This window comes from Homo sapiens, chromosome 4 (genome assembly GCF_000001405.40).
Source record: "Homo sapiens chromosome 4, GRCh38.p14 Primary Assembly".
NCBI lineage: Eukaryota > Metazoa > Chordata > Mammalia > Primates > Hominidae > Homo > Homo sapiens.
Window position 1 is genome coordinate 25,678,800 of NC_000004.12, and position 12,070 is coordinate 25,690,869.

The 12,070-nt window shown below is 45.1% G+C and overlaps 2 pseudogenes; one reads left to right on the forward strand and one right to left on the reverse strand.

Annotated features, from left to right (window-relative positions):
- Positions 19-310, forward strand: RPS29P11 (ribosomal protein S29 pseudogene 11; annotated as a pseudogene).
- Positions 7,362-7,668, reverse strand: SLIRPP2 (SLIRP. pseudogene 2; annotated as a pseudogene).

Sequence of the window (12,070 nt, forward strand, 5' to 3'; positions counted from 1 at the left end):
TTATAAAAATGTGAGGTCTCCTTTTACCTCGTTGCACTGCTAGGAGCAAGATGGGTCACCAGCAGCTGTACTGGAGCCACCCAAAAAAATTCGGCCAGGGTTCTCGTTCTTGTCGTGTCTATTCAAACCAGCACGGTCTGATCCGGAAATATGGCCTCAATAAGTGCCGCCAATGTTTCTGTCAGTACGCGAAGGATATCGGTTTCATTAAGTTGGACTAAATGATCTTCCTTCAAAGGATTATCCAAGTCATCTACTCAATGAAAAACCATGATAGTTCTTTGTACATAAAATAAACATTTGAAAAAACAAAACAAAACGAACAAAAAAAAATGTGAGGTCTCTTCCTTCACTGAATGTCACTACCCACCACTTACCATCTGACCCTCCAGCTGCATAATTTGTGGAGCCTCTTGTTCAAAAACCTGGAGAAAAGTGTCATTTTATATTGTTCAATGCCAATTTCAAACACAAACATAAGACCTATTAACTTGTCTGTGGAATCATTGACATGATGTAGCTCTTATATGTAGCTCACATGTGTATTTTATTCCAAGAACAGTGAAAGCATTGCACAAAACTAACTCAATTGTTTTGATTTCACTACTTTTTTTTTTTGAGACATTGTTTCGCTCTGTCACCCAGGCTAGAGTGCAGTGGTGTGATTTCTGCTCACTGCAACCTCTGCCTCCAGGATTCAAGCGATTCTCCTGCCTCAGCCTCCCAAGCAGCTGGGATTACAGACGCATGCCACCACACCCAGATAATTTTTGTGTTTTTAGTCGAGACGGGGTTTCACCATGTTGGCCAGGCTGGTCTGGAACTCCTGACCTCAAGTGATCCACCTGCCTTGGCCTCCCAAAGTACTGGGATTACAGGCGTGAGCCACCCCACCTAGCCTGACTTCACTTTTTGTGCACATTCTGCCAATGCTCTCTGCCTTCCTGATGAGTTTAAGGAAGAACTGAAAGGAAAAAGAGCAATGGGCCACACTTTCCATATCAGCATTTTTCAGCCTAAGTGAGAAAAGACAGGGTAGGGTTTCTTAGTTGTTCCTTGCTTGTTTTCTTGGAGTGCCATTACCTTCTTGCTGCATTCAAAGAAAGTTCTGGTTTGAATGGAAAGTATGGCCTTTCAGTGCTGTGCGTTCTGCCAACAACTGCGCTAGTCAAAATAATAACATGTTGGTTGGGTGCGGTGGCTCATGCCTCTAATCCCAGCACTTTGGGAGGGAGGCTGAGGCGGGTGGATCGGAAGGTCAGGAGATCGAGACCATCCTGGCTAACACAGTGAAACCCCGTCTCTACTAAAAATACAAAAAATTAGCCGGGCATGGTGGTGGGCGCCTATAATCCCAGCTACTAGGGAGGCTGAGGCAGGAGAAACACTTGAACCCGGGAGGCGGAGGTTGCAGTGAGCCAAGATCGTGCCACTGCACTCCAGCCTGGACAAAAAGAGCTAAACTCTTAAATAAATAAATAAATAACTTGTTAAGGAAGAGTGGACTTTAAGAAACATTTGTAGGACTAAGCTGGTCACACCTCTTTGTAGGCCAGCTGTGCTGAGGAATGAATCCGTATTGCAGAGCACAGTGAATTTGGGCTTGGAATCACTCAGGTTGCTGGGTTCCACTCGTAGCTCTGTCATTTACTGTCTCAATAGCAACTTCCTCATCTGGAATATGGGACAGTAACACTTGGCTTCCTGTGATTATGAAAATGAAGCAATATATGTAAATATTTAGCCAGGGTGGGTTTACTGTAAGTGCTTGGCATATGGCTCTGCCTCAAAATATAGGGGATGAGCATGCATGGCAGATGTACAAGACACACTTCCCACGCTTGTTTGCATTTTTCTTCCTCTGAGTATTTCCAAAGTGACATGCCAAGTCAAGAAGGCTGCTATCAACCCAAGAAACCGAGGCCAGGACTGGCCTGGGATTATTAGGATGAGCTGAATAAATGTCATGTGGCCTGGGAGCAGTCCCCGGACTGGGCTCTGCAGCCACGGGACAGGAGTCAAGGACCACTCAGCATTTCCAAAACAAATCGTTGCTCTGTAAACTCACTTCCGAGTCCCAACAAATGGCAGTGGTGAGTGTTATTTTAAAAGGGTTTTGTTTTTGTTTTTGAGTCAGAGTCTTGCTCTATCACCCAGGCTGGAGTGCAGTGGCATGATCTCGGCTCACTGCAACCTCCGCCTCCTGGGTTCAAGTGATTCTCCTGCCTCAGCCTCCCAAGTAGCTGGGACTGCAGGTGCCCACCACCATGGCTGGCTAATTTTTGTATTTTTAGTAGAGACGGGGTTTCACCATGTTGGCCAGGCTGGTCTCAAACTCCCGACCTCAAGTGATCCACCTGCCTTGGCCTCCCAAAGTTCTGGGGTTACAGGTGTGAGCTACTGCGCCCAGCCTTAAAAGGGTTTTTTACATTATTATTTGTCTAGGTTGAAGATCACATACGTCTGGCCGGGCGCAGTGGCTCATGCCTGTAATCCCAGCACTTTGGGAGGCCGAGGCAGGCAGATCAGTTGAGGTCAGGAGTTTGAGACCAGCCTGGCCAACATGGTGAAACCCCATCTCTATTAAAAATACAAAAAATTAGCCAGGAGTGGTGGGTGCCTGTAATCCCAGCTCCCTGGGAGGCTGAGGCAGGAGAATCGCTTGAACCTGGGAGGTGGAGGTTGCAGTGAGCTGAGATCGTGCCACTGCACTCCAGCCAGGGCAACAAAGCGAGACGCCATCTCAGAAAAAAAGAAAATCAAATGTCTAGAGAGTGTACAACAAACAACATTACCCTTTGCTCTGCCCGCCTCTGCCCAATACTCCTGTCTGTCTCCCCAGGGGCAATCCTTTCCAGCTCTTTTCAGTGCTTTCTTCTGGTATTTTGTTCTGCAGTTATCACATGATTACAGTGGCTTTTTCTTAATGCAGCCATTGATCTGTTTTGGAGGAGATAGAATTTACCTCTCATGCCACACCCTCACTACCAGTGACTCCTTCTCCCAACCGGTAGTTAATATTTACAATATTATTATAATTGTGATAAACTGCAGAACTGAATAGTGCACCAACATTTGCTTTCTTTGTTTTCATCAGTGCCGTCACCTACCTATAAATAATCTTTCCCAATTGCTTCCAATCATCTGATAACCTTTTGGTTCTTCCCTCCCCTCTCTCTTCCCCTTCCCTCATCTCCTCTCCCCTTCCCGCCCCCCTCTCTCTCTTTCTTTCCCTCACCTTCTGCACTTTCTCCCTCCCTCTCTCACTCCCTTTCTCTTTCTCTCTCTTTCTTTCGTACCCAAGAAAGGATACAGAGAAAATAAAATTTTTGAGTCTATGCATTGAGTCCATGTGTGTGTGAAAATGTATTTTAACCTCAAGATTGATCAATAGTTTGAAAACCACTGCCTTGGCATAAGGAAGGTATTGCTCCATTGTCTTCTAGAATCTTGTGGATAAGAGACCTGGAGCAGAAACAGGCCCAGCATCCAGCCAGCACTGTCACCAGACTTGCAAATGAAGCCACCATAAAGGATACAGCCAGCATCCTGCCTGACTGGTGGGGCCAGCAGAACAACCCCTGCCAAAAACGCCCAGCCCTGATTGCTGACCATGGAGTAAACAAATAAAATGGTGATTATTTTTAAGACGTTACAATTTTGAGTTGTTTGTTACACAGCGCAAGATAACTGATACAGAATTCAACACTCTGAAGTGTAGACTGTGGCTTCAGTCTGATGTATTTCCTGCAGCTCACTGCCCACCCCTTGTCCTTCTTACTGTGGCTCCTTTGGTTACATCCTTCAGAGAATAAATCTCCTATCTCTTGCCTGCAGTGGTGACACAGGTTCACCAGGGTGCCTTATTTAATTATTAGCTTCAGGCCAGACACAATGACTCAAGCTTGTAATCCCAGTGCTTTGGGAGGCTGAGGTGGGAAAACCACTTAAGCCCAGGAGTTCAAGACCAGCCTGGGCAACAAAGTGAGACCCTGTCACTACAAAAATTTTTTAGGCCTGGCATGATGGCTCAAGCCTGTAATCCCAGCACTTTGGGAGACCAAGGTGGGTGGATCACTCGAAGTCAGGAGCTCCAGACGAGCCTGGACAACATGGTAAAATCCTGTCTCTACTAAAAATACAAAAATTAGCTGGGTATGGTGGCAGGCACCTGTAGTCCCTCAGGAGCTACTCAGGAGGCTACTGAGGAGGCTGAGGCATGAGAATTGCTTGAACCTGGGAGGCAGAGGTTGTAGTGAACTGAGAATCGTGCCACTGGGCGACAGAATGAAACTGTGTCTCAGAATAACAACAATAATAATAATTTTAAAAAATTAGCCAGGTATGATGGTGTGAGCCTATAGTCTCAGCTACTTGGAAGGCTGAGGCAAGAGGATCACTAAAGCCCAGGAGTTGGAGTTTGCAGTGAGCTATGATTGCACCACTGCACAGCAGCCTGGGCAACAGAGCAAGACTCTGTCTCTAAAAAAAAATTGTTTTTTTTTTTTTTTGAGACGGAATTTTGCTCTTGTCTCCCAGGCTGGAATACAAAGGCACGATCTTGGCTCACTACAACCTCTACCTCCCAGTTCAAGTGATTCTCCTGCCTCAGCCTCCTGGGTAGCTGAGGTTACAGGCACTCAGCTCCACACCGAGCTAATTTTTGTATTTTTAGTAGAGACAGGGTTTCACCATGTTGGCCAGGCTTGTCTTGAACTTCTGACCTAAGGTGATCCACCCGCCTTAGCCTCCCAAAGTGCTGGGATTACAGGTGTGAGCCACCATGCCTGGTCTAAAAAATATTTTTTTGAGTTAAAAAAAAAATCACTAGCTTCATGTCATTGGTGTGCTGTATTAGCAGACTAAATCATTTTCCACAGGCCCTGGTTAACCTATGGCCTGTGAGGACAGCATAAATTACGCTGCCATGAAGTAAAATTATGCCTTCTCATTTGGCTCAGGTTAATTACCTAGGACCCAAAGGGGCTCTGGAACCTGCTTGTTGGTGCTGAGGTTGTAGTTTTGCATTTTTCACTTCGTTGGAGTCTTAGGAAGTCAGTAAATAACATCCCTTTCTTCCCTTACATAATTTATTTTATTTATTTATTTATTTATTTTTTGAGACTGAGCCTTGCTTTATTGGAGTACAGTGGTGCCATCTCAGCTCACTGTAACCTCCGCCTCCCAGGTTCCAGTGATTCTCATACCTTGGCCTCCCAAGTAGCTGGAATTACAGGTGCACACCACCATGCCTGGCTATTTTTTTTTTTTTTTGTATTTTTAGTAGAGACGGGGTTTCACCATGTTGGCTAGGCTGGTCTCAAACTCCTGACCTCAAGTGATTCACCTGCCTCAGCCTCCCAAAGTGCTGGGATTACAGGTGTGAGCCACCACGCCTGGCCACCTTACAGAATTTAGAATCAATTGAAAAATAAGACACACAGGACAGAATGATGGAGATGAAAATATTCATTTTATTATTTATTAAGGAAGCTAATTGTAAGATGCGGCATTTAGAATTGCCAGGAGGTGGGGACAGGAGAGCTTACTAACACTTTACCTTTGAATTAAACCAATTTTCTTACCCAGGCTCAGGCAGAGGTGAATCTACAGGCCTTTCCCATGAGAATGGAGACTGTCCTGAGGTTTCCCAGCTGACCCATGGGTGGGCAAGCTCCAGAGCTCAGTGTGCTTTGTTTCTCCTCCCAGAATTGACAATCAGATGCCATGGAAGCCCAGATGTGACAACTGTGGATGCTCTAGGGGGTTGAAGGTCCTGTTCTAACATTCTAGTAAGGTCAGGCGCAGAGGCTCATGCCTGTAATCCCAACATTTTGGGAGGCGAAGGCAGGCGGATCACTTGAGGAGTTCAAGACCAGCCTCGCTAACATGGAGAAACCTCATCTCTACTAAAAATACAAAAATTAGCCAGGCATGGTGGTGCACGGCTGTAATCTCAGCTACTCAGGAGGCTAAGGCACGAGGATTGTGTGAGCTTGGGAAGCGGAGGTTGCAATGAGTCAAGATCGCCACTGCACTCCAGCCTGGGCAACAGAACAAGACTCTGTCTCATAAAATAAAAAACAAACAAACAAAGAAACATCATAATAGGAACTGCAGGTGACTTCCCTAAATAGGCATTTTCTTTCTTTCTTTTTTCTTATATAATCCTCATTATTTTGGAGGCATTTTCTTTTTTTAAAAAATATATATTTTTTCAGAGTCAGTATCCCTCTTGTCACCCAGGCTGGAGTGTAGTGGCATGATCATGGCTCACTGCAGCCTCCAACTCCTAGGCCCGAGCAATCCTCCCCCCTCAGCCTCCCAACCTGCTGAGATTACAGGTGTGAGCCACTGCACCCAGCCCTACATAGGCATTTTCCATTCATCACCTCACTGACTTATCATAGCCTGAGGAATAGGAGTTATTTATCTCCACTTAATAGAGAGAGATGCAGAAGCTTCCAGGGACATAGCTGAGGGTCCCAAGATGAGAGGATTAAGATCCACAGCCCACCCCTCAGACCAGTGAATTGTGCTGCCTTGGGACTCACTGACCTCACAGTACTCATGGTTATTAAAGCAGGACAGACGCATGGGAGTTGAAGAATCAAGGTGTCTGGAAGGAAGGACTTAGAGAAAGGCTGCAGAGCCACCCAGGTGTAAGAGTAAAGGGCAGGCCGGGTGCGGTGGCTCATGCGTGTAATCTCAGAACTTCGGGAGGCCGAGGCACAAGTATCCCTTGAGGTCAGGAGTTCGAGACCAGCCTGGCCAACATGGTGAAACCCTGTCTCTACTAAAAATTCAAAAATTAGCCAGGTGAGGTGGCACAGGCCTGTAATCCCAGCTACTCAGGAGGCTGAGGAATGAGAATTGCTTGAACCCGGGAGGTGGAGGTTGGAGTGAGCAGAGATCATGCCACTGCACTCCAGCCTGGGAGACAGAGTGAGACTCTATCTCAAAATAAATAAATAAATAAGTAAATAAAAATAAAAATACAAGGTCAGAGACTCAGAGACTCAGTCTTACTGAAAGTCATAAACACGTGACAAACACCCACCACTCTCTGTGCCAGCCCCCAAGCCCAGCTTCCTCGTCCTCAGGAGTGACCTGGTCCTTGCATCTCACAACTGCATGAAGTATTTGTGGGACACGTCGTGTGTCAAGGCAGGAAGATCACTTCCCAAATATCCACCACTGCGGGGAAAGGGAATGGAGTTATCACCACAGGCCGCCTCGGAACCGCGTGAGAACCTTGAGGTTAGCTGGTGGAGGGGATAAGCTCTCACTCACCCGTCTTCCCTTTGGAGTTTATCATCCCTGGTAGCCAATGAGGACATTTGTTTGTTAGTTTGTTGTTTTTCTCAGTTATGTTAACTTTATTTAATAAGCTGAAACAGTCTCAAAAATCTTTCTCTTCATCATCAGATGTTTGCAAAACTTTTGGCCTTTGAGCTTAAACCTGGAGCTTTACTCCACCTATAATATGATATTCCTGCTGTAGTGCATTCTGAAGTTCTGAAGAACACTGAACCCAACCCAAACCTCTGTGAAAGCCAGTCTCCTTGTCTTGGTCCAAGGAATTTTTCTCACAAAAACAACTGGCCGACTGATACTTCTACGCAGCACCATGGCACCTCTCCCTGCTAAGGCCGCCATCTTCAGACTTTTTTTTTCTTTTTCTGAGACAGAGTCTTGCTCTGTTGCCCAGGCTTGAGTGCAGTGGCACAATTTCAGCTCATGGCAACCTCTACCTCCCAGGTTCAAGTGATTCTCCTGCCTCAGCCTCCCAAGGAGCTGGGATTACAGGTGCCTGCCACCACGTCTGGCTAATTTTTTTGTATTTTTAGTGGAGACAGGGTTTCACCATGTTGGCCAGGCTGGTCTCGAACTCCTGGCCTCATGTGATCCGCCTGCCTTGACCTCTCAATGTACTGGAATTACAGGCGTGAGCCCCCAGGCCTGGCCACCAATGGGGAAATTTGGTCAGAAAATTGTGTCCACTTCTGGCCCTGTTCCTGCCCCTGGCCCCAACATTCTGTATGAAAACAGTGAGAAAATCTTGTTCCTTCTGTTAAAATAATTAAATGAGAGGCCATTAGCCTGAAGTGACTCTAACACCCTGGAATCCTACATAAAGAAAGAGAAACTTTACTCAGAATTTAAAGGAAAAGGAAGCTTAAGCTCAGCCCAGCACAGCAGCTACCTGGGCATTGGTTGTCTTCCCATTAACCTCCTACTGGAATAGGCCAAGTAAAGCAATGGCTCAAACTTTAACCAATCACAGAGTTTCTTTGCTCTGCTTCTTCATTCACCCTATAAAAGCCTCACCTTTATGCCCCTGCCTGATTCATCATTGCCTGCTCAAATACACTCTTTACTTCTTTTCCTGTTTAGAGAACAAAAAGTGCAGCCCACTGGCAGCACTCATTTAATTTTACATAAACTCACTCTTGGAGGCTGAAGCAAATCTGACTGATTTTCAATGCAATAATAAAATATAAAAACTCTTCCTGGAGTTCTTTCTAAACATAACATCAGAATTGTCTGAATCATCAGAAGGGTCTTTTTTGGAAAAATCAGATTCATCAAATGAATCTTTGGCCAACAAGTGTTCAAGAACAATGCTAACATCATGCGTAGGAATGCTTTGTTTTCTAGGATTTCACGTTTTCAGTGATTGAGAATGATTATATTTTGTCAATGGAAATACCACTACTAAAAACAGAATGCTCTAAGTAGAATGATGCCTTTTGTTTCCAAAGTCGATATACTAGAGCAATGCAAAAATGATTTTAAAAAGCACCAGGCACAGTGGCTCACGCCTGTAATCCCAGCACTTTGGAAGGCCGACGTAGGTGGATCACGAGATCAGGAGTTCAAGATCAGCCTGACCAAGGTGGTGAAACTCCATCTCTACTAAAAATACAAAAAATTAGCTGGGCACAGTGGCAGGTGCTTGTAATCCCAGCTACTTGGGAGGCTGAGGCTGAGAATTGCTTGAACCTGGGAGGCGGAGGTTGCAGTGAGTGGAGATCGAGCCACTGCACTCCAGCCTGGGTGTCAGAGTGAGACTCCGTCTTAAAAAAAAAAAAAAAAAAAAAAAAAGGCGAGATCTTTTGTGGCAAAATTATCTCAGAGTAAACACTGTGGCTGCAAGTGCCACTGGTGAGTATTTTGGGGTGCAAGCAGGAAATGGGTTGAAATTTTAACATGCCCAACCTTACTTTATAACACTTCTTTGATCTTCCTATCACTCTCAATCTTAACGCCCCAAGGAAAAAGGAACGGAAGTATTAATAATCGATATGTGGTGGATGGAAGACATTATCAAGAGATATTTTTAGACAGAGCAAGAAGTGTGGGCAGAAGCAGGCCTGGCTGTTGGTGGTCCAAGCTAAGCTGAGGAATGTTGGCTGTGATCACTAACCTCCTGCTCCCCACCCCTCCATATGTTTTCATCTGAGGGCCAGTCCAAGATGGGTGCTATGATTGGAATATTTGTCCCCTCCAAAAACCCCTCAATCTAGTCCCCAGTGCAACAGTGTTGAGAGGTGGGGCCTTTAAGAGGTGATTGAGGCTGGGCTCACACCCGTAATCCTAGCACTTTGAGAGGACGAGGCAAGCGGATCACAAGGTTAGGAGTTTGAGACCAGCCTTGCAAACATGGTAAAAACCCATCTCTACTAAAAATACAAAAATTAACCTAGCCATGGTGGCAGGCGCCTGTAGTTTCAGCTACTCGGGAGGCTGAGGAAGGAGAATTGTTTGAACTCCAGAGCCAGAGGTTGCAGTGAGCCAAGATTTCACCACTGCACTCCAGCCTGGACAACAGAGAAAACTTCATCTCAAAATAAATAAATAAATAAATATGAAGTGATTGCATCATGAAGACTGCGCTCACAAATGGATTAATCCATATGTGAATGAATGGATTAATGGGTTATCATGGGTATAGAACTGGTGGCTTCACAAGAACATAAGGAGACCTGAGCTACCACGCTCACCCCCTCACTTTGTGATGACCTGCACCACCTTGGGACTCTACAGAGTCCCCAGTGGCAAGAGGGCCCTCACCAGATGTGTCTCCTCAACCTGGGACTTCCCAGCCTCCATGATTGTAAGAAATAAATTTATTTTCTTATAAATTACCCAGTTTCAGGTATTCTATTAAAATGCAACAGAAAATGAACTAAGACAATGGGCATGCTTCCCTCTCCCTCAAAGTCTAGTGAGACGGCTTTAGTGGCACCCTTGGAGAGCTGGGTAGGAGTTCTCTGCAACTGGAAGCATGAAGGACTGCTACCTGACTTGTGTCCAAGAAGAAAAGATTGTATTTAAGAAATAACCAGTCAGGTGCAGTGGCTCACGCCTATAATCCCTGCACTTTGGGAGGCCGAGGAGGGCAGATCACCTGAGGTCAGGAGTTTGAGACCAGCCTGACCAACATGGTGAAACCCCGTCTCTATTAAAAATATAAAAAATAGCTGGGTGTGGTGGTGAGCACCTGTAATCCCAGCTACTTGGGAGGCTGAGGCAGGAGAATAGATTGAGCCTGGGAGACGGAGGTTGCAGCGAGCCTAGATCGTGCCACTGCACTTTAGCCTGGGCAACAGAGTGAGACTCCGTCTCAAAAAAACAAAACAAAACAAAACAAAACAATAACACCTCACAATTATTCTGGTGACTCTTAGATTTTTTTAAAAAGTTTTATTTTTGTAGTCAATATAAAATATACTAATGAGATATTTTGCATTCCTTTTTCATACGAAGTCTTCAAAATCCAGTGTGAATTTTACGTTTACACCACATCTCAATTACATTTACACCACAAATGATCACTGGAAATACTTTACTTGTTTTGTGACCAAAACAAATCTCTAAGCACAAATCTCATGGATTAAAGAAGGCCACACATGTTTTGCCATTCTTCCACTGGAGAGGTGGAATTATGTATATATAATTTTTGTGTGTGACGTAGTCTTTCTCTGCCACCCAGGCTGGAGTACAGAGGCACACTCTCTTGAATCCCAGGTTCAAGCAATTCTCCTGCCTCAGCCTCCTGAGTAGCTGGGACCACAGGCTTGTACCACCATGCCCAGCTAATTTTTGTTTTTTTTGTAGAGACAGGGGGTCTCGTTGTGTTAGCCAGGCTGGTCTTGAACTCCTGACCTCAGGTGATCTGCCCTACTTGGCCTCCCAAAGTGCTGGGATTATGGGCGTGAGCGACCATGCCAGGGCTGTACAAAATATATAAATATTAAATTTAGCTGGATATGGTGATGTGTGCTTGTAGTCCCAGCTACTCAGAAGGCTGAGGTCAAAGAAATCACATCACTTGAGCTTAGAAAGTCAAGGCTGCAGTGAACCATGATCATGCTGCTGCACTCCAGCCTGGGTGACACACCAAGATCTTGTCTCAATAAATAAAATAAACAAATAGGGGCATAGAGCTGCCTGTTCAGTACAGCAGATTATAGTCACTTGTTGCTGCTGAGCCCCTGAAATGTGGTTAAGGTGACTGAGAAATTGAATTTTTAATTTTATTTAATTTTAATCTATTTAAATAGTTTTTTTTTTTTGATAGGGAGTCTCACTCTGTCACCCAGGCTGGCATGATCTCAGTTCACTGCAACCTCTGCCTCCTAGGTTCAAGCAACTCTTGTGCCCTAGCCTCCTGAGTAGCTAGGATTACAGACGCCCACCACCATGCCCAGCTAATTTTTGTATTTTTAGTAGAGACAGGTTTTCACCATGTTGGTCAGAGGCTGGGCTTGAACTCCTGGCCTCAAGTGATCTACTGCCCTCAGCCTCCCAAAGTGCTGGGATTTCAGGCGTGAGCCACCATGCCTGGCCGGTATTAACAAATTTTAATCTTGTGACTGGTATTAACAAATTTTTAATTTTGTGACTCTATTTCTTCAACTTCTTCAAGTAGATTTTATGACTTCAAGACACAGATTAAGTATTTCCAATGACATTTTAGCATCTGAATGGAGATGTGCTGTAAATGTGAAATTCACACTAGATTTTAAAAACTTGGTTTGAAAAAAGAATGCAAAAGATCTCA